The sequence below is a fragment of the Homo sapiens genome, chromosome 9 (genome assembly GCF_000001405.40).
Source record: "Homo sapiens chromosome 9, GRCh38.p14 Primary Assembly".
Classification (NCBI taxonomy): domain Eukaryota; kingdom Metazoa; phylum Chordata; class Mammalia; order Primates; family Hominidae; genus Homo; species Homo sapiens.
Genome location: NC_000009.12, coordinates 110889756 through 110913692, shown reverse-complemented (window position 1 = coordinate 110913692; position 23937 = coordinate 110889756). Strand labels below are relative to the sequence as shown.

The following is a 23937-nucleotide window of genomic DNA, read 5'->3' as shown; positions in this document are numbered from 1 at the left end:
TCCACTTCACTTGGTTTGTTCCATTCAGAATGTGCTTTTTGTTTGTGGGCATACTTAATTAGGCTTATCTGCTGGTCTACTCTGATTATTACATAGTTTTGTAATATCTAAAGCTAAAAATGGATATATATATATATACTTATTAAAATGAACTTGATACACATGTGTGTGTACATATACATATATATATAAATACCTTTCATCAATACTTTTGCAAAACTTTCATTTAGAGACTTTTAGAAACAAATTGTGTGTATGTATATTATGACAGGTTGGCACTGATTTTAATTTCTTTTAGGATAATGAACCTTTCTGATTTGGCTGACTTGTAGTAGTGGTAAATACTACCTGTTGGAAACCTGTATTTAATCTAACAGATGCTCTAAAAGTCTGTACTTTCTATGCAGCATGGTCTGGCAGAAAAACACTTTTGGAGTCAGACAGCTCAACGCCTCAGTTATGTAAACAAGAGGTATCTACGTAGATACATAGCTAGATTCCTAGATAGATGGTATCTATTATATCCCAGATGGTTTTCTAGGTCAGGGAATATACTGGAAGATCTGGATTTGAATACAGACTTCAGTTTGAATGGAGCTTGACAAGTCAATTACTTTCAAGTTTAAGTTCCTCCTCTGGGAAATAGCACAAATAGCACACATGACACCACTTCATAGGATGTGCTAAAGAGTAACTGGCTTAATGCTGTTAACCTCCCAACCTTGTTCGTATGACAGTGCTTTCTGAGGCTGAAAATCTGATCTTCCCAGGTTTGACCAGTTGCTCTGTTTAGCTAAGGTCAGCCTGTTTATTATTTGGGACAGTCCCAAGAGAGGCAAGATTAGCATCCTTTGAACTGAAAGGAACCCTTCTCATCTGGAGGGTGAAGAAGGAAGAACAGAATGTCCTGGTGGCATTTAGAATGGAATCTCTAGCCCTTCTCCTTGGACACTGTTTGCGTCATGAAAAAAACTGTAATATGGAGACGCTGTCTCCAGCAAGAAATTTATGGCTATATTTCAATAGTTTGTTCAAATTTAGACCATGCCAGCTTCTATAGTTGATGAAAGCCTGAATATCCAAACACTATCTCCATTAATAAAATCTCAATGTTCCCAGAATGACGAATGTCTGAAAACGGGTTTTATTGTGAAAGGAGAAGCTCATTTGGTGTTTCCTCTTCTCTCTTTGCTTTTAGAAGAAAAAAATGAGAAAACTCTGTAGTCAGCCAAAAGGTCTTTGCCCCCTACTAATTCTTTTTTTAAAACTGTCATGAGAAGATAAGAGTTTTAAAGTTTTGTATTCTATCTCTGGGTCAGGGATCAAATATTTGCATTTGTAAAGAAATCAGAATTGTCTTTGAGAGGTGGAGATTCCTGGCAATGTTCAAGCTCACAAGTTGCACAATTCTGTAATGTGAAGTACTTCTAGTCACCTCGATGATGGAGAGGGTCACAGCAAAGAGATCTGGCCACATGGGTGGTCAAAAGTAGGATGTGCTTAGAAAGAAGTTGTTTTTCTTTCCATTTTCTATTATTAAGTATTTAAAAACTGTGATGTAGTCACACTGTTTCTGCATTGATACTGTGCTTTCCTTTCTCCCTCCCACAGCCCTCAGTAACCCAGACGTTTATTCTTCTATCTACCTACCTTCACTTCCTATCACCCAAGGGTTTCTGCCTTTTAGGTTTTCTTTAGACTGAGATACTGTCTCCCTAGCCTTTCTGCTTTCCGGCTGGCCGTTAAAACAATCACCCAGCCCTTTTCTGTATTATAAGTGTTAATTCTGATCTCAGTTGGGAAATAGGCATATGGGAAAGATACAGGCATACCTTGGAGATATTGCAGATTTGGTTCCAGACCACTGCAATAGAGCAAATATTGCAATAAAGTGAGTCACACAAATTTTTTGGTTTCCTGGTTCATATGATAGTTATGTTTGTAATATAGTCTATTAAATGTGCAATAGTAGTATGTCTTAAAAAAGTATGTGCATACCTTAATTTAAAAACAGCTTATTTCTTTAAAAATGCTAACAGTCATCTGAGCCTTAAGTCATAATCTTTTGAAAATATTTTTTCTTAAATTAAAAAAATTAAAGTATCTTAAGTCTGCTTCTTAATTTTTTTTTCAAATCCTCCACTATTTTTTTAGATAGGATCTTCCTCTGTCACCCAGGCTGGAGTGCAGTGGCACAGTCTTGGTGCATTGTAGCCTCTACTTCCCAGGCTGAAGCAATCCTCCCACCTCAGCCTCCCAAGTAGCTGGGCCACAGGTGTGAACCACCATGCCTGGCTTTTGTATTTTGGGTAGAAATGACATCTCGCTATGTTGCCCAGGCTTGTCTCAAACTCCTGGGCTCAAGCAATCCACCTGCCTTGGTCTCTCAAAGTGCTGGGATTATAGGCGTGCACCACCATGCCCTGCACAGGTCATGATCTTTTTGCTGGTGGAAGGTCTGGCCTTGATGTTGATGGTTGCTGGCTGATGACAGTGGTGGTTGCTGAAGATTGGGGTGGCTGTGGCAATTTCTTAAAATGAGACAGTAATGAAGTTTGCCACGTTGATCGATTCTTCCTTTCACAAAAGATTTTTCAGTAGCATGTGATACTGTTTGATAGCATTTTACCTACAGTAAAACTTCTTTCAAAATCTGAGTCAATCCTCTCAAACCCTAATGCTGCTTTATCAACTAAGTTGATGGAATATTTTCAATCCTTTGTTGTCATTTCAACACTGACAACCAGAATATATTCTATCTCCAGAGACCACTTTCTTTGCTCCTCCATAAGAAGCAACTCTTCATCCATTAAAGTTTTATCATGAGATTGTAGCAATTTAGCTACATCTTCAGGTGCCACTTCTGACTCTTTCTCTTGCTCTTTCTCCCAAATCTGCAGCAACTTCCTCCACTGAAGTCTTGAACCCTTCAAAGTCATCCATGAGGGTTGGAATGAACTTCTTATAAACTCCTATTAATGTTGATATTTTGGCCTCCTACTATGAATCATGGATGTTCTTAATGGCATCTAGAATGGTGAATTCTTTCCAGAAAGTTTTCAACTAACTTTGCCAAGATCCATCAGAGAAATCACTATCTATGGCAGCTCTAGCTTTACAAAATATACTTATTAAATAAGACTTGAAAGTCAAAATTACTCCTTGATCCATGGGCTGCAGAATGGATATTGGGTTAGCAGTCATGAACACAACATTAATATCCCTGTACATGTCCATCAGAGCTCTTAGGCGACTAGGTACATTGTCAATGAGCAGTAATATTTTGAAAGGAATCTTTGTTTCTTAGCAGGTCTCAACAATGGGCTTAAAATATTCAGTAAGCCATGATATAAACAGATGTGTTATCCAAGCTTTGTTGTTCCATTTATAGACTACAGGCAGAGTAGATCTAGTATAATTCTTAAGGGCTGTAGGATTTTTGGAATGGTAAATGAGCACTGGCTTCTGCTTAAAGACACACCAGCCGCTTTATCCCCTAACAAGAGAGTCAGCCTACCCTTTGAAGCTTAGAAGCCAGGCATTCACTTTTCCTCTCCAGCTATGAAAGTCTTAGGTGGAATTTTCTCTCTGCACTTATTGGTCAGTTATGTTGTGAAACTAACCTGCTCTAAAAATAACATTTGGGCCAGATGTGGTGGCTCATGCCTATAATCCTAGCACTTTGGGAAGCCGAGGCAGGTGGATAGCTTGAGCTTAGGAGTTTGAGACCAGCCTGGGCAATATGATGAAACCCTGTCTCTCCAAAAAATGCAAAAAATTAGCCGAGCATGGTGGCAGGCACCTGTAGTCCCAGCTACTCGGGAGGCTGAGGTGGGAGGATCACTTTTGAGCCCAGGAAACAGAGGTCATAGTGAGCCGAGATCACACCACTGCACTCTAGTCAGGGCAACAGAGCCAGACCCTCTCTCTAAATAAATAAATAAATAAATAAATAAATAAATACTTTATTTAATAAATGAAGCAAAACAAAAAGAACACTGATCACAGATCACCATAACAGATATAATAATGAAAAGTTTGAAATATTGTGAGGATTACCAAGATGTGACACAGACACCAAGTGAGCACATGCTGCTGGAGAAGAGGTGCCACTATCCTTGTGTGATACAGGGCTGCCACAAACCTTCAATTTCTAAAAAATGTAATGAGCCAGTGAAATGAGCTGTGCCTGTACAGGAAGGTGCTAGGATCACGTAACTTATACTGTTACTGAAACACCAGGGGTTTGGTCTAGGTCCTGCTGCCCACTGCACTGAAAGTCAATCACTGAGATGCCAATGTGATGTCAATCAATGAAATGTGAGCACAGTGAAATGAGCTGCTCCTGTACAAGAAGGTGCTAGGATCATGTAACTTATACTGTTACTGAAACACCCGGGGTTTGGTCTAGGTCCTGCTGCCCACTGCACAGAAAGTCAATCACTGAGATGCCAAGCATTGCCAAGGAAGAAGGCTTTTCTTGGGTGCTGCAGCTGAGGAGATGGGAGCTCAGACTCAAATCCATCTCCCTGACTGACTAAAACCACGGGTTTATATAGAAGGGAAAAAAATAGTCACAATGTGTAAGAAATAGGAACTAGGGAGGGGCAACGAAGCAGTCATGATGAGTGAGGGATATGGCATTTGGTACAGTGATCTGGTGAGTTTCACTTCTTTGATACTTTTTTGAGAGGCCTGAAGGTCCTTTCCCAAGAAAGGAACTCAGATAAAATAAATATAAGTTTCAAGCTTTAAGACAAAAAAGGTCAATTTCTATGTTTATCCAAAAGAACAGTCTATGGAACGATGGGGTTGGTTTCAATACTTCCCTGGCATCTGATTGGTAGTTCTCGTGTCCCTTCTGAAATGGAAACTATAAGACTCCTTGAACATTTTTCTCTATGTGACCAGACCAGTTCTTCTGAAAGGATGCTGGTCACACCTGCCCTTTCCCTTCAATATAGTTCTTTCCAGCAAGGGCAACTCCAAGAGCTGGCCCTTTGCATTTTCAAGGCCTCCTAGGAAGTCGTATTCATTTCAGGGAATTTCTGGTCCACAGAAGAAAAGGTACTTCCTCACAGTGCTTAGGTAACTTCACTAACTAATGAATCTCTCTGAAAGACCAGAATGTTCCATTCAATGCAGTTACTAAAATGTATTTTTCCTTTAAGATTATTCTGCTTTATATTTCCCTTTTGATTTCTCTTGAACATAAGATGTGATAAGAGACTAATTTCAGTATTAATTTTCTGTTTTAATACTTTATGATGAAAATAATTATAATTCAGTACATTTAAATTTTAATAAAATAACATCTAGACAATAACTTAGTATCAATTTAATATATAGTTAATTATAATATATTAATTAATATTAATTTGTTAATAGTTTATTAAGCATTAATGAATTATAAAAGCATTTAAACAAATGTCTTAATATTTTAAAATAATTTAAGTAAAATATTTTAAAATTGCTTACTATTTATAAACATTTAGATATTTAAAATTAATAATACTTTAGTTCCTAGTTTAAATAGAAAAATGTTCCTAAAATATGCATAAGGGAAAAAAAAGAAAAGAAAAACACACTGATTATTTATTTCCAAAGAACAATTAAACAAGAAGCAACTGATGAGAAGCAGAATTATTTGGGATGGATATGAGCCTTAGCCTCCATCTTCTGTAGTGTAATTTTCTTATGAATCTGTTTTAGCTTTTCCCTGAAATCAGAAAAGCTGTGTGTGTGTGTGTGTGTGTGTGTGTGTGTGTGTGTGTGTTTTGTCAAAGGTTAAGTCTTTCTTTTTTGATGTGAAAGTTAGAACAATTAAACCGATGTAAATCAAATTACTGTTCTTTGAATAGTAAGCCATCCTTACCATCCTTATGCTCTCTGTAGTTCCTGCTTTTTCTGTTTTAATCTGTGCATTATTATTAATAAAAATCATTTTCTTCTATAAAGATAACATATGATTAGTACAGATATATTGGGAAATATTAAGAATCAAAGAAAGAAAATAGTAACCTGTAGTCTCCCATGCAAAGACAACACATATCCTTTATCTGAGATTTTCCTGTTGTCCAGACATGTGAATGTCAAGAGAGAATATAGAATTAATGAATCAAAACAGTTCCTGTGAACTCATATAGATGTTGCTTTACTGGACCCTGATGTTTAACATTGTTACAGAAAAGTCGGGGGTCAGTCTGATTATGCTCCCTTTACAGGTAACCTGTTTATTTTGGCTGAGGTGATTGTGTGTCTTTATTCTTATAGTTTATTCTCTGTTCTCTTTCTTTCACCAGAGTCTGTTCCATTAAAGACCAAGAACGATTACCCCTTGCCTTTTTACAGAGCTAAGAATATTAGAACCATCAGTGGCTCAGGGTCTGTCAAGTCTCCAGTGAGTCATTCTAGGTTGTTCGCCATACATTTCTGTTCATCTTAGTTTCTCTCTGTTCCTCTCTTGATTTTTTGCCGGACAGAATATTATAAGGAATATTTATTGTTTGTGACATTAGGGCCATCAAATTCTTAAATAAGACTTAGTCCTTTCTCAGAGGTAGTATTATCCTTTTCTCCCTTTTGTTAAAGTGATAATACGATCAATGTAATTTTTAACATTTTTCAAATATATATCAACTTTTGAAATTAGCTGCATGTAGTAATACCAGAAAATGTACATTCATAGAATTTGTTTTGTTCTTAATTCTAGATTTTTTAAGTTACAGAATTAAAATGTTAATCTGAATCCCTTTTGCATCAATAAAGGATTTTTATATCATAATTTTTAGAAACTTCCTTCATCCTTAAGTTGGCCTTCAAAGCATATATATCCAATGTCACTCCATAGAAACTTTGGTTTTACAAGTAAATATATAGTTCATTTACTTTATGTGATATATTTGTTATGTTTTGTATTTGCTGACTATATGCATTTTATGTGGAAAAGCATTTTAATTTAAAAAGTTTCATTCTAGAAGAAAATCAGCTGTTTTAAAAGTATTTTGATAACTGGTTATGAGCCATAATAGTATTATTGTTGTGAAGCATTTTGTTTCCCTAAGTGTAAGAGTCAAACCCAAGAAAAATATTTTAATATGAAAAAATATTCTACCACACAATGATCAGAATATGTACTTTTATTAGATAATATTTTGAGGTGACCATTTTGGCATGTGTTGGGTTGGTACTAAAAAATGAAAAGATGAGCTTGCATTTCTAGCATAGGCTAAAATTATGGAGATGATACTCTTAATGATTATATGTCTTTAATCAGAAGTTTTCACCCAAAGAACACATGGCTTGAAATAAGTTTTTTAAAAACATCACCAGTGTCAACATTATATTATACAAATTAAGAAGTAGGATTTTTTCCTTTTTTTAATGAAACACATTACACCAAGTTGGGAAGGGTTAACATTGTCCTACATATAATAGAAGACAGAGAATGGACCAGCAATGTAGTCAGAAGGTTGATTCTAGAGTTCCAGGGATCTTAGAAGTCCCAAACATAAGCAGGGAGAATTTTGGCTTTAGAGGTAACATCTATCTTGTCCATAGAACTTGACGTATTTTTGTGCCATAACCTTTACTAATCTGATTTCTTGAAATGTTTTACTTTGTTTCCAAATCCATTGCTACCTATGGTAAAGTTTCTGACAAAGAGCATGCTCCTGGATTATAATAGCTACTGTAGAAAGCTTATTACATGTCACGTGTTTGAAATACAGAAATTCATGTGGTTCTTATAGCACTGCTGTAAATTAGGTATTACCATATCCTTTTCACAAATGAAGAAACTGAACCTCAGGGTATTGAGCCAGGACACGCAGCCAGCAAGTGCACACACTGGCATGTTCTAGCCCAGGTATGTTCACCACTATCTGTCTAGGGAAAATAATTCCATAGAACATAAGAGACTGAGGAAATGTATAGAGCCTTTTAAATCCTTACATATTACTGATAAGAAAATGCAAGCCCTTTAACTTTTGTGGTAAATGGTGCAATTAAGGTGTTTATACTTATTTATAAAACATAGCAGGCTGGGTGCCGTGGCTCACACCTGTAATCCCAGCACTTTGGGAGGCCGAGGTGGGCGGATCATGAGGTCTGGAGTTCGAGACCAGCCTGGCCAACATGGTGAAACCCCATCTCTACTAAAAATAATAATAATAAAAAATTAGCTGAGTGTGGTGGCACACGCCTGTAATCCCAGCTGCTGGGGGAAGGTGAAACAGGAGAATCGCTTCAACCTGGGTGACGGAGGTTGCAGTGAGCCAAGATCATGCCACTGCACTCCAGCCTGCGTAATAGAGCGAGACCCCTTCTGCAAAAAAAAAAAAATAATAAAAAAAAGCAAAGGCATATTTTGTTTTAAATGCATTTCATTGTCCAGTGTACCCAACCATCCATATATGACCTAGCACTTCTCAAGGACAAATTATCTTGCCACCTATGCAGACTTGGAATAGGATAGCATGGTAAACTGAGGAAGAAGTGAGAGCATGTTAAGTTGGTGGACCATGATTGGCATCAGCCAATTTTCATATAGTTCCTTTAGTTCCAAGGATTTGTTATAGTTGATCTAAAAGGATGCCGAATGAACAGCAGTAAATAGGTGACCCTGCTTTGCTTATTGGTGTTCCCTACCAGAGGTGGGAAAGAAATGAATAATTCCTCTAAGTGGAAATGGTCCATGCTCCAGTAGGTTTATGCTACATTTGAAGTGTCTTCCTTCTGTCACTTCCTCTCCTCTCTACTCTGGGGTTTGTGAGAGCTTGGAGTGTGTCATACAATATCCTCTTTGGATTGTGAACTTTCTTACAGTTTTCAGAGCACTTTGAAAGACATCTGAATCATAAGGGATAACACGGGATGGATGAGAAGAATTAAAACCTGTAATAATGTATAGAATTATCACTGGGTGTGGTCCAGGTTGTCTGCCAGACCTACTTCTCCAGCCACTCCTATTTCAAAGATGTGGCAGTTAAGGTCCAGGAATTTCTGGTGATCCTGATTCCTAGTTAAGAGTCAGAAACATGCTCCAGTCTAGTTCTGTCTCAGAATGAGGTAGCTCCTAGTCTAGGACTTTGCCATGAACAACTTAATACTTTTATTTATATTGAGTCATTTGATATGCAGAATCCCAAATAGATATTGAGGACTTTTGGGATTATACCTCTATTTATTTACTATGTCTTTGAGTATACCTCTTTGAATAGTTTTCCTTTTGGTTGCTATCTCATTACAATACACATGTGACTTATCACAGTCTACTGATATCAACATTTTACCACTTTGAGTGACACATGGGGGCCTTATTTCCATTTAAATGCTTTTACCTTTCCCACTTTTAAATATTATTGTCTTGAGTATCAGATGGTGTTATAATGTTTAAGTCATCTAATATATCTTATGAAACTCATGAGGAGGATCATCTATCGTATGTAGCCATATTTCAGCTTGTTTTGTTGTTTTATTTCCTAATGCTCCATGATTCCATCTTCCATCATTTTCTTTCTGTTCAAAAAACTTATTTTAGCCATTTTTAAAAGGTCTGCCAGCAACACAGTCCTTTTGTTTCTTTCATCTGTTTCTATATTCCCTTCATTCTTGAAGTATAGTTTTCCTGGATATAGAATTTGAAGATGACAATTCTTTGTTTTCAGCACTTGGAAAATGCACCTTTTCCTTCTGGCCTATATGGTTTCAGGTAAGAAATTTGCTGTTATTGGAGTTGATGTTCCCTAATAGGTAATGTGTTGTTGCTCTCTCAGTGCTTTCAAGACTTTTTTTTTTTTTTTTTTTTTTGCAATTCACTTATCAAAATTTTAATTATGAAATGTCCTGGTATGGATTTCTTTGGGTTTATCCTGTTTGAGATTTATACAGCTTATGAATCTGTAGATTTATATTTTTTTGCCAAATTTAGAAAATTTTAAGCCATTATTTTAAAAACAATTTTTCAAGCCCACTCTCTTTTTCTCCCTCTATTCTGGACCTTTGATGATGTGAATCTTGAACATTTTGTTATTGTGCTACAAGTCCTTGAGGGTCTGTTTTTTGTCGGTTTTTAGTCTATTTTCTTCTTGTTCATAGTGAGTAAATTTGGTAATTCTGTTGATCTGTTCTCAGGTTCACTGATTCTGTCCTTTGTCACCTTCATTTTACTATTGAACCCACTAAGTTTATATTTGTTGTACTTTTTAGTTTTATAATTTCCATTTGGTTCTTTTTTTAATTTCTCAAAAAATACGGAATGCGTCACGACTTTGCATGTCACCCTTGTGCAGGGGCCATGCTAATCTTATCTATGCTGTTCCAATGTTAGTGTATTTGCTGCTGAACTGTGAGCACCGTGGTTCTTTTTTTAATAACTTCTAGTTCTTGGCTGAGATTTTCTATTTTTTCATTTGTTTCTAAATAATTTACAGTTACTCATTACACCATTTTGAGGATGGCTGCTTTAAAATCTTTGTCAATAAGTTCTTCTTCTGTTTCATCTCTGGGTTAGTGTCAGTTGTCATTTCACAGTCAAGTTGTGATTTTCCTGACTTTTGGTTTGTTGGGTAATTTTTCATTCTATCCTGGAATTTGGCTATGCTGTTAGGAGACTCAGAGTCTGATTTAAATCTTTTGTTTTAGTAGGCAGTCATCCCATTTAGGTTTAGCAAGAAAATCCTGGCCTAATTTTGTGGGCCGTGCATCCAATGACAATTGCATTTTCAGAGACTTTGTGGTGCTATTTTGGTCTTCTTGGTTTATCTGGGGCTGCTAGGGTTCCTCCTGGCGTCTGCTGGTGCTACCTGAAGGGGTGGAGCTCTTCAGTAGAGCCTCATGATGCCTCTGATGGAGGTAGAGGGAATACAAACAGATATCCTGGAGACAGGCACTAGTGCTGAGGACTGCCCCTCTCTCCAAGGAAAACACTTCCCAGGTGGAGCCTTTTTTTGTGGCAGGATCCCCTTTGCTAGTGCTGCAAGCCACCTGCTGTTTCTCATTGGAGGAAGGGAGTCTTAGGCTTGGTGAGTAAGGAGAGTGCTTTCCTGTCTTCTTATGGTCAGCAGGTGTATTAGTCTCATGCTGCTAATAAAGACATACCTGAGACTGGGTAATTTATAAAGGAAAGAGGTTTAATTGACTCCCAGTTCCACATGGCTTGGAAGGCCTCAGGAAACTTAACAATCATAGTGGAAGGGGAAGCAAACACGTCCTTCTTCACAAGGCAGCAGGAGAGAGAAGTGCTGAGCAAAGTGGGAAAAGCCCCTTATAAACCCATCAGATGTCGTGATAACTTACTATCACAAGAACAGCATGAGGGTATCCACCCCCATGATTCAATAACCTCCCACCAGGTCCCTCACAACGCGGGATTATGGGAACTACAATTCAAGATGAGATTTGGGTGGGGACACAGCCAAACAATATCAGCATGGCTCCTGCTCCATTTTCCCTGGCTAGTACCGCTGGCCAGCCTGGTAGTATCATTGGGACTCCCCTTTGGTCTGAGTGGGAATGAGCCTATTTGGGCTGGCTACGAGATTGAGGCTCTAGAAACACTGGGCTTGGGTGACCTTCTGTGAGGTTGTGGGTTGTAAGACACTGTCACTGTGACATTCCTCTGGTTGTAGGGTCTCTAACCATTTCACCTTTTGGAGTTCTCTGGCTTCCTTTTGTGTTTTTTTTCTAGGGTTTATATTTATACTTAGCTGGGAGAAACAGGGAAAAAGTATCTGTACCATCTTGTCCAGTCCAGAATTCTTGTGCAGGGACTATTTTTGGGTAGAGTTGGGGTCGGAGAAGACCCTTAAGACTACTCATTATAGAAAAAATGAATTTAGTTAGTGGCTTTGTTTCAGTAGAAAGTTCTCTATTTTTCTACCTTTCATAGTTCCCTGTAAACAAAACTGAAATGCAGTCTACCTGCCCTCTCTCTTCCCCCTACTTCGTAATCATGCTGTGATATGGTTTGGCTGTGTCCCCACCCAAATCTCATCTTGAATTGTAGCTGCCACAATTCCCACATGTCATGAGAGGTACCTGGTGGGAGGTAATTGAATCATGGAGGTGGGTCTTTCCCATGCTGTTCTCATGATAGTGAATAAGTCTCACGAGATCTGTTGGTTTTATAAAGGGCAATTCCCCTGCACACACTCTCTCTTGCCTGCTGCATGTAAGACATACCTTGCTCTTCCACCATGGTTGTGAGGCCTCCCTAACTATATGGAACTGTGAGTCCATTAAACCTGTTTCCTTTATAAATTACCCAGTCTCAGGTATGTCTTTATTAGCAGCATGAGAACAGACTAATACATGCTGCCTCTATGGGCTTCAATGAGCTGAAGTTCTTACATCTTTAGGAACGTGGAGGAAGAGTTAAAGCCTCACCTTCAGTTTTGCTACTCTTGTCGTAGTGGGAACGTGAGTCAACAAATACTCTATCTTTAGGCCACGACTTCTCCTTCTGCCTTCTTCCTAATCGCCTCTTGTCAACTTCACCAAGCTTAACTTCACAGGCTGGGAAAAATGAGCTTTTAAAGACAGTTAGTCAAATCTTATATGTCAAACTCAAAAAGGGAAAGAAACTGTAAGTGTAAATGCCATCTGGCTTTATTTACTCATCCGCCCCCATCTCAGAATCACTTTGAGCAGATGCATGCTTTCACTCTGAAGAGCAGTTTATAGGAACAGATTGAAGAAAAGATTTGTTTTAAACATTTCAGCACGATAATTAGATTCAATTAAATTTGTCACTAAGTATTCTGTAACTTAAGATGCCCTAGCCCTTGGCACATATGAGCAAAAATCTAAAAAACACAGGGAAGGTGCTGATGAAGGTTTTGGATGAGGGTTCAAGTAGCCAAATACTACCTTCACTTTTGAGATAAATCTAAAAGAAAATTTTTAAGGTAGTAAATATAACTCTGTAAAATACAAATAGAATTCTTAAATTTCAGGAAACACCCAAAGATTCAGAAATGAATCATATTTCCTCATTTGTTGGGCATTTAAAATGTAATTTTATACTAGTGATAGCAACAGGGTCAAGAAAGCTTGGGAATGGTGCCAGAAACTGTAACATTAAAAGTAGAAAAACTTGGTTCTTCCTTAGATGAATTTATGTGTGACTAGAAATGCTATGAAATGTTCTCAGGTAGGAAAGTACTTGCGGCACAGAAGAAAATCCCTGTTCTCTAGGATTTTGGGGGAGAAACTTTATCTTAAATTATTCTAGGTATGAAATCATTTACAAATGTAATTTTTATTTTAACATGGTGGGAGTGAGAAATACGGACCACTAAAGATGCTCACATCCTTATCCCTGGAACAAAAAGATACTTTTCAGATGTGACTAAGTTAAAGGCCTTGAGATAGGGAGGTTTTATGCTGGATCATTGGCTTTGAAGAAAGAGGAAGGGTCCATGAGCAGTGGAAGCTTCTGGAAGCTGGAAAAGTCAAGGAAACTGATTCTTCCCTGGATCCTGAAGAAAGAATTACAGCCCTGCTAACACTTTGATTTTTGCCTAGCAAGGACTCACATCAGATTTCTGACCTCTAGAATTATAAGATAATAAATTTGGATTATTCTGAGTCACAAAGTTTTGTGATAATTTGTTACAGCAGAAATAGAAAACGAATACAAATAAGTGAGTTATTTTTAAGAGGGTTGCTATTTGTCTCATATAACTTTTTATGTAAAAGCATTATCTACACCACTGACTTTGCCCCTAGGAAAACATTTGGCAATGTTTGGAGACATTTTTGATTTTCACCATGGGGGCATGGGGGTGGTGTATTACTGGCACTGAGTGGGCAAAAGCCAGGGGTGCTGCTAAATATCTTACAATGGAATGACCAGTCCCACAAGAAAGAATCATCTAGCCAAAATAGAGAAATTCTGAGCTAGGTTAATTTATGTACTCAAAGCATACTCTTGCTACCCAAAGTGCTGTACATGGATGAGTAACATTAGCATTACCTGACAGCTGTTAGAAATGCTGATTCTCAGGTCCCACTCCAGACCTACTGAATCAGAATCTGTATTTTAATAGATCTCTGGGTGATTCGTGTACACATTGAAGTTGATAAAGCACTGGTCTAGGTGACTTTCTCTTGCTTTCTTCCTCTCCCTATCATTTCCTTTCTCCTCCCTTGCTACTCCCTGCACTTACGGTTCCCATTTAGCTACGTAAATGCCTTTCTTCCCAGCTTCAGTTTCTAGTCTCCTCAAGCCAGGTCTGTGTATTATTTCATCTCTATATTCTCCCAAAGACACTGACTACATTGCATTGCACAAAATAGCTGCTTGATATTATTTATGGATCGAATGAACTTCTGAAAATTCTTGATGTAGATAATTTTCATTTTAACTGAATGGATGGCTGCCATCATTTTTACTTTGTAATTGAATTCAAACATTTCCTAGAGTGTCAACTATGAAAAAAGATAGCCATTTCAAATACCTAGAAATTTCATAGTAAATTGAAGCTTCCTAATGATTTCACAGTGTGAAGAAGAGAACTCATCCTAAATATCCTATATTCTGATTCTTGATGTGTAACAAAATGTAGCCAGTATTTCCATTCTTAACATTCCATTCTTAACATTAATTCTCCAGAGCAATCATTTGTGTAATGGAATAATTTGTGTTGTATTTTTAAAAAAGAATTAGCCGATGTTTGTCCAAGGAACCTAAGGGGATTATCAGGTTTTTGGTATTTATCAAAATCTGTTACTTTATATGATGGTTACAACTACAAGGAATTATCTCATTTTTTTTCTTTGCACGAATGCAGTGAAAACACTCATAGGATGTTTTGGAGTTAAGGTGACACACATTACGTGAAAGGCCTGATTTTATGAATACTGCATCTTACAGCAAAAATAAGAATTCACTGCTACAGAAAAGGAGCAAATTAAAAATTCTAGTTTAGTTAGCCAGAGATTTCTCAGGCTGTAAGTGATCTCCTTCATTTTGTAGATGAGGAATTTGAGGCCTAGAGAAGTTGGTGCTAGTCAAAAGATCAAACCGTTGCATGTTTTGTGGAAAGGACAATATTGGAGGCTTGCTTTTAAACATAGCTGTCTTCATCTCGTGAACGTGTGCTGTAAACCCGATGACCCTTGAGGGCCTTGCAACTTTTGAAACATTTTAAATCCGGTTCTCCCACTCTAAATATAGCGTTCTTATAGTTTCATACTGACTCTCTGTAGACTATTTCTGTCTGGAGAAAAGGATGGGTAGGTGGATGGAAGCTGTCACTACAATACTAGTACAAAAGTTAGATTTAAATTCATGTTTCTTTGCACACGGTAATCTACATAAAAAAGTTTTTACTTCATATGTAGATGAATAAAAGTGCCAAGTTATATTAATTCTCTGATAAAATAGTTTTGTAATTCCAAAGCTACTGGGAAAAGTCCAACAGACACATATTTTTTAAATTTCTAAAAGCAAAACTAGCACTGGAAAAAATAACTTGGTCCAGAAATATTGGTTTGTATTGCTTGGAATTGTAAGCATTGTGTTGTTTTAAGGTCCTTTTTACCCTTCAGGATAGAGCCATGGCTTTCACTGGATTCCCAGAGGCACCAATGTCACAGAAATGAGTCACTAGTTTTCTCAGCTCTTGAAATACGTATCTGAAGACCAGTGAAAATCTGACTTGTCAAGACTATGATTCTAATTACTAGGGTTTCTTGAGCTCACTGTTTTTGCTATTAAATATTTTCTTCCTTCCTCCAGAAATTCTGTGTTTGAGGATTTTATGTATCCCTTGTGAAATAATCCCCAGATAATGAAAATTCAACAATACAAAGTGATGCAGAGACAATGATCCTTGACAACAGTAGTATAGATATCTGCTCATTAAAAAAAAAAATCAAAGGCCTTATTTTAGTCTATATCTAGTTATTTTTTTCTACTTTTCAATGTTTCTCCCTATCTTTCTAGAATTAGTTCTCCAGTTGTCTTTTTCCTTTTACCTTATGTTGTTTTATCTTCAAAGACAGAGTGATGGAGCTTAGTAAGGATGCTATGATTTGAAGAACACAGATGCCTCTAACTTATGGAAGAGGAAGCCAAATGCTGTTCCACATTCAGATAAACAGATGAATGGATGCAAAAGTTTCTCCCTATAAGATGTGTTTGTAGTTCTGATGCATAAGAACTTTTCCAGCATGCTAAGGGGGTTGAAAGGTACTGTATTAGTTTGTTTTCACACTGCTGATAAAGACATACCCGAGACTGAGCAATTTACAAAAGAAAGAGGTTTATTGGACTTATGGTTCAACATGGCTGGGAGGCCACACAATCGTGGAGGAAGGCAAGGAGGAGCAAGTCACATCTTACATGGATGGCGGCAGGCAAAGAGAGAGCTTGTGCAGAGAAACTCCTGTTTTTAAATCAGATCTCATGAGACCCATTTGCTATCATGAGAACAGCACGGGCAAGACCCTCCCCCATGATTCAGTCATCTCCCATGGGGTCCCTTCCGCAACACATGGGAATTATGGGAGCTGCAAGATGAGATTTAGATGGGAACATAGAGCCAAACTATGTCAGGTAGGAAGGCAGGATTCAGGAAAATAAAATTCTCTGTCTGATTAAAGAGTTCACTAAATCACGCCTGTAATCTCAGCACTTTGGGAGGCCGAGGTGGGCAGATCATGAGGTCAGGAGATCGAGACCATCCTGGCTAACACGGTGAAACCCCATCTCTACTAAAAATACAAAAAATTAGCCAGGCGTGGTGGCAGGCGCCTGTAGTCCCAGCTACTCGGGAGGCTGAGGCAGGAGAATGGCATGAACCTGGGAGGCGGAGCTTGCAGTGAGCTGAGATCACGCCACTGCACTCCAGCCTGGGCAACAGAGCAAGACTCCATCTCAAAAAAAAAAAAAAAAAAGATTTCACTAAATAGTTGCATATTCAAATACAAGTCACTTAACTCACCCCCTCCCAAATTTTAAGTCATGCTTCAGTGTATTATGTGTTTATTACAAGTTCATACGGTGCTTAAATCCTAGTCTTCAATCTAGTAACCTCACTATGGGTAATCCTTAGTGTACTATTCTTGTGGATCCTTTCCTTTGTTTTTCTTGCCTACTTAAGTGTAGGGTTACTTTCTAGATCATACCATGGAGTAGTACAATGGGGAATGTCTTAAAAATCAAATACTTAAGTGCAAAACACAAAATAAGGTGTAATTCAGTAACAATCAGACTAAGCAAATAAAAAACATTCTGAGTTGCCTTTTAAATGTTTCAAGTGTGGGTTGCCCCTGATAAATTTAATTAGGCATCATAAAGAGATAACATATAAATGCATTTAAAAGATGTAATTGCACCTCAAAACTTTACATAGTTAAAAATCAAAAGGCCACAAATGACCTGAATAAATAGCAGGAGTCTGAAAAATAACTGTCAAAAAGAAAATTGTCAGCAATGTTTTTGAAAATATAATGAGGGCCCTAGAAAGTACGCAGCATAGTCAAAAATCTGTCGTGGTAACAAGAATAATTATGAGCAGGACTTGAGGTTCTTCATTAGCATCATATACCTGGATTAAATGGAGCAAGTACATTTCTCCCTCTGATCTAAACTGGAAGCGAGCACTTTACTGGTTTACAGCTAAAGGAAGACAAAGGAATTGACCCAGCTTACATCTTCCCTAACTAAGTTTTTCACTCTGTAAGCCTGATCTGATTAAGATTTTTGACTAAGAAATGAATACGAAATGGATGGGTAAATGGCATGAGAAGCAAGAGAAATGCCCAGGTGTCCCAAAGGCTGTCTTTCCATTCTTCACGTGGGGCCAACATGAAGCTCCTCTGGGCTGCATCTGGTTCTCTTTTGTTGCTACTTTATTTCTTAGGAAAATTATTTTTATTGTTTTTTAGCCAGAACTGTTCTGCAATGAAATTCTCTCAGCGCTGGCCTTTGCCCAGCTGCCCAGCTGTTTCTGGAGGGTGGGGTCCAATCTTACCGAGGTGGCCAGAGTGCATCCAGCTCCGAACACCCCCCAGTCAGTGCTGTTGTCTGATAAGTCTCCAACAGACCCTCCTGAACTGTGACCTGTGAAAAATAGAAATATGAGGCCTGTGTGTTCACTCCCTAAAGAGTTCCCTCCCTGGCTTATCTATTTTCCTCAAACATCTCAACTAGGTCAGGCCCTGTCATTAAAAAACAAGTGGGTCTCCCCTAGTTTCCCGGCTAAGAAGATCTGGCCTCTGCCTTAGGCCCTGACTAGGGGGCCCCGTGCTGCAATAACTGGTTGTGCAGCCCACCCAGCCTAGTGGCCAGGCCCCAGTGTCTGCCCCAGAGAGGAGAGGTTGGAGCCAGCCACCCAGAACCTTTGCTGGCTATGCCTGGCTGTAGCAGCTGTTCTGGCTATGCAACTCTGAGCATGCTCAGAGTGGGGCGTCCAGTACACCCTGTCTTCCCAGGCTCTCTAAAGCCAGAAGGATTTCATTCTTTTCCAGAATGTGGTACTTTAGCAGGCTGAGATAGTCCATTCCTCTTAGAAATTGTTCCCCTCTACTTGAAGGATAGTAAAATAAAGGACCATTTAAACTTTTAAACTTGACTCTTACCTCAAATTCTTTTTCAAATGAGATTGGGTCTAAAATTAAGAAATTAAAAGCAAATATTCATTTTATATTCTTTTTTTATTTTTTAAGACTAGGTCTTGCTTTGTCATCCAGGCTGGAGTGCGGTGGTGCAATCATAACTCACTGCAGCCTTTACCTCCTGGGCTCAAGCAATTCCCCCACCTCGGCCTCCCATGTCGTTGGGACATGTGTGCACCACTGCATCTGGCTGATTTTTTTTTTTTACTTTTTCTGGAGGTAGGGTTTCAGCTCGTTGCCCAGGCTGGTGTTGAACTCCTGGGCTCAAGCGATCCTCCTGCCTCAGCCTCCCAAAAGGCTGGGATTATAGGTGTGAGCCACTGCACCTGTCCCTTATTTTTAATTTTAAGCAAAAAGAGGACTGACTCTGAAGTTCAAGAAGTCATCAAGAAATGCTGATGGGTTACTTCAGAATTGTTTCAGATTAAAGGACAGCCTGGTGTCACTCTGTGACTATGGTAATGGCATAGTAGGGAATACAGCTTCCCACTTTGCTATCTCTAGGTTAGGAGAACCAATAACAGTTCACCCAAAATATCCACATTTCTTGGAGGCTTATCCTTTGCGTATTCACTGAAGAAGGAAAGGAAAGAAATGAAGGGAACCCATTAGGTGGCCCTGTGCTTCGTATTCCATTTGCAGTGTCTCATTCAGTCCTCACAATAGTGCTGAAAGTAGATCATATCCTCATTTGACAGATAAGGATATTGAGGCTGGGCAAAAGTGAATAACTTGTCCAATGTCCCATATGCAGTAAGGAAAAGAAACAGTATCTGACCTCAGGTCTGTCTGTCTCTTTCCTCCTATAAAAGATGAATACATACCTTTAAAGTCCTCCAAGTTACCCAGCCTCGGAGATTAAAATAAATTTTATTTCCAAGATATCTCTATTTTTCTTCCTCCCCGCTAACTAGCTTCTTAAGTTCCCATGTGAATATTGTCATTCATTTCCTTAATTATTAAACATGTTTTGTTTTAAACTGGTAAATAATGTTTAATAAAGGTTTTATTATTATTTTAAAAACATTTTTAATGAAGTTCTTTCCATTGAAGCATTTCTAATTTATTCTAATGAAGCATTTCCAAAGAATAAAGAAAAGTAATAATTTAGGGTTGGTTATCTACATCAATATCATTATCAAAGTCTACTGTCTGTCCTTCCTCTTTTTTCCTCCGTCTTAGACCAGGGAGCATAGTAGATGAACATCATGCAGGCCAGCACACTGAGGCTACGTGTAAGCAGGTGGGAAGATTATGTGCATGAAACAGACAGTCGCATACCACTTTTGGTTACAAACACTTGCCCTGGATGAGAGCAGGAATTGAGACCACGTTTGTGTCCCAGTGGGTTCCAGGACTTTTTTTCCATCAGTTTCCACCCTGTCCTGGACAGGCTTAGAAAAACATGTTTCTTACCAAAAAAAGTTACAAAAACAATGTTTACATTAAAATTCAAAGTCCATGCAACTGCCTCTGGTTCCTCAAGGTAACTACTGCCAATGATTTGGTGTGTATCCTTCTAGACATTTTTTGTAATGCACATAGGGTATATATACATATAAGTACCTATAGCAATTTTATAAGTGACCTGTTGTACATGAGGTAACTTTATAGACTTAATGTAATGTGCGTATCTTCCCATGTGGGTAAATATGATAGAGCAGTGCCAATCTGCTTAATGGCTGCTTACTACTCCACTTATGTATACTATCAGTGGATATTGAGATAGTTTCTAATTTTCTACCGTTATAAATATTTCATTGAACATTATGTGGTTGTATTTTTATATGCTTCTTCAAGTATATCTGGATGACACATTTCTAAAATGGAATTGTTAGGTAAAAGAGGACATTGTACATTTAGATAGATATTGCCAAATTGCCCTTCAAAAAGATGGTCAAATGACTCTTCTATCAACAGTATATGAGTGTGTCCATTTATTTATTACCATTATGTCACTAGTAAGAGCATTTTAAATCTTTCCCACTGTGCTACCTATTCTTTTTAAGATCAGAATAACACATTTAATACTGATGAGCTTTAGTTCTGAAGCCAAAGCGCTTGCTAACATTTCATCCCTGGATCAACAGACTCAACCACCCAGCCACAGATATTGCTGGACAATCATGGGTTTCCCCAGTAAGGGTGCAGCCTGCACCACTAAGCTTATTGAGTGTTTTTGAGCCTGCCTGCCTGCATGCCTGCCTGCCTGCCTGCCTGCCTGCCTGCCTGCCTGCCTTCCTTCCTTCCTTCCTTCCTTCCTTCCTTCCTTCCTTCCTTCCTTCCTTCCTTCCTTCCCTTCCTCCCCTTCCTCCCTCCCTCTTCCTTCCCTTTCCCTTTCCCTTCCCCTTTCCCTTCCTTTCCCTTCCCCTCCCCTCCCTTCCCCCTCTCTCTCTCTTTCTTTCTTTCTTTCTCACTCTGTCAACCAGGCTGGAGTGCAGTGGCATGATCTCAGCTGAGTGTAACCTCTGCCTCCCAAAATCAAGCGATTCTCCTGCCTCAGCCTCCTGAGCAGCTGGGATTACAGGCACACGCCACCTCGCCTGGCTAATTTTTGTATTTTTAGTAGAGATGGGGTTTCACCATGTTGGTCAGGCTGGTCTCAAACTCCTGACCTCGTGATCCACCTGCCTCGGCCTCCCAAAGTGCTTGGATTATAGGCATGAGCCACCGTGCCGGCCTGAGCTATGACCTACTTTCTACAGGAAACTAGAAGAAGAAACTAAAGATAGTTGGTGCTGGCCTTTCTAGTGTTGGTCAACCTCTTCCTCATTCTCTCTCTCTGTCATTCTCTCTTTCCTACTTTATTGAACTATAATTGACATATAACATGTTGTTGCATATATTGATAGTTTGTTTCTATTACAGACTAGTATTCCATTGATTGGAAATACTACTGTATATTCACCTGTTGATTTGTGGATGGACTTTTGGGTTGTTTCTAGTTACTGACTATTACAAATATTTTGCTCTGGGCATTTCCTACACATCTTTGTGTGGACATATTCTTTCCTTTCTCTTGGATAAATATTGAGTAGAATGGCTGAGTCATATGATATGTGAATGTTTAACTTTTGAGGAAGCTGCCAAACTGTTTTCCAAATAATTAATACCATGTTACATTTTCACCAGCAGTGATGAAAGTTTCAGTTCCACTATATCCAAGTCAACATTTGCTAGGGTCACTCTTCTAAATTGTAGACATTCAGTGGGTGTGCAGTCGTATCTCATTGTGGATTTAATTTGCATTTCCCTGATGACTAGTGAAGCTGATCGCCTTTTCATGTGCTTAATGCGCCATTTATACATTTTCTTTTGAGAAGCATCTATTAAACTATTTTACATTTTAATTGGATTATTCATTTTATTATTGTACTGATATGTAATGGGAATCTGACTTTTATATCCCTCCCTCACCCCAAAGTCAAATTATTCCAAGACTATTTATTGAGCATTTGATCTTTTCTTCATGTTTTAAAATATGTGTTAGATTTTGTTATGCAGAGATCCGTTTTTAGATTTTAATGTGTGCCACTAATCTCGTTTATCCTCCTGCTAGTACCAAACTAGCTTAAACCTGTGACTTTATAGCATGTTTTAATGAGATAATCCCCTTTCATTAACTTGCCCCCACAAATGCGTTTAATATACAAACTAATTTTGAAAGAATTCCTATTTTAAAAGTATTGAATCTTCCCCTTCAAGAATATGGTACTAGTTCCATTTATTTAGGTATTTTTTCTTAAAAGTTATGTAATGTTCTTTATTGAAGAATAACATACTTTTGCTAGATGATGATTATCTTGCAAATATTTATTATAAGAAATCCATTTAGTTTTGTACTTTAATTTATATATGCCCACTTTTCTGAGTTACAAATTTTTTTCTAATAGTTGATTGAATAGTTATCAGGTATTTTAGTTTTTCTATTAACAAGCAGGCAATCTGAGGACAACTTATTTTCAATTGTTTATCACTTTTTTCTTTTCCAGCTTAATTCATTGACTAGAATGTCAGTACAAATGGATATCCTTTTCTTATCCCTTATATTAGTGGAATACTTCTAGTATATCGTTGTTAAATAAGATTTCTGTTGGTTTCTAATAAGTTTTCTGTAGTTTTCCCCATTCCCAGATTACTAAGTGTTGTACTTGTAATTATATTTTGATTTGTTGGTGGTGGTGTTTTATCTTCCTTTTAAAAAAGTAAATGTTGAATTTTACCAGGCAAGTCATTGGTGCTAATATTTTTTCTTAATAGTGTGGTGAATTGCATTAAGAGATTTCCTAGTGTTAACCCTTTTTGGTTGGATCATAGCATTCTGCTAATATAATGTCAGATTCAATTATATTCATAAAGTTGACTGGTCTATACAGTTATTCTCAAAGAAAGGTGGTACTTCCTGCTGACTATTCTCCAGGGACATTTGGGAATGTGAGGGAGTAGTTTTTGCTGGCCACAATGGGCAGGGTGCTAAGGACCCTGGAATTCATGGAACAGTTAATGCAACAAAGAAGCTTTTCATCCCCAAAGCCAATTCCAATCCCACTGAGAAAAACTAATCTGTAGTTTTGTGGGGGGGAGATTTGTTTTGTCTATTTTTTTATAGTTTATTTTAGTCTCTTAGAATGAATTGGAATTTTTTTTAAATGTTAATACTTGGGGAACAATATAAATTCCATAGGAAGTAATATGTTCCTTAGTGGTTTGATAAATTTCATCCACAAATCCATCTGAATCTGGTGCCTTTTGAGGGGGGTGAAGGAACTTTTTTAACGATTATATTCTCTATGTTTTTTGTTTTGGGTATATTCAGATTATCAAACTATTACATCAATTGTCATAGTTTGTTTCCTTAGAAAAACATCAATTTTAGCCATTTTTTCAAATTTATTGGCAAATAATTTCATGTAACTTCTTCTAGTTGTGTGAACTTCATCATCTATGGTTATCTCTTCTTCGTAATCTGTTTTTATTTTGTTGGTCATATTTATAAGACATTTGTCTCTTTAGTTGTTTCTTTAAATACCAGATTTGTTGTCTTAATCAAGTTTATTCTTTTTTATTTACTATTTCAGTAACATGTTTTAATTTCTTTTTTGCTTTTGGGGACGTTATATATTTTTGCTCAACTTCTTGAGTTAAATGCATGGTTCATTTCTTTCTCATTATTTGTATTCATTTGTAAAAATATTTTGGCCTCTGAATGCAAAACTGTGCTGTTAATGGATTTCTAGTCTGTTAGATATTCCATTTGGATATAACACAATCACTTAATTAGGGTATGTGATTTGTATTACTAGAACCAAT

General features: G+C 37.7%; 1 protein-coding gene and 1 pseudogene across 74 annotated transcripts in view, besides 1 other annotated feature; one reads left to right on the top strand and one right to left on the bottom strand.

The window, feature by feature from the left end:
• LPAR1 (lysophosphatidic acid receptor 1) overlaps window positions 1-23937 on the top strand; it is a 165736-nt gene that overhangs the window by 125306 nt on the left and 16493 nt on the right. The window lies entirely within an intron of this gene.
• RNU6-432P (RNA, U6 small nuclear 432, pseudogene) lies at window positions 10248-10356 on the bottom strand (annotated as a pseudogene).
• Window positions 10899-11068: an enhancer, noted in NCBI's record as "experimental_105418 CRE fragment used in MPRA reporter constructs". NCBI's record gives its function as "activates a minimal promoter by MPRAs in K562 erythroleukemia cells, with activity observed for both the introgressed and non-introgressed 9:113664990 variant alleles {active_cell/tissue: K562}" and the evidence as "EXISTENCE:reporter gene assay evidence [ECO:0000049][PMID:34662402]".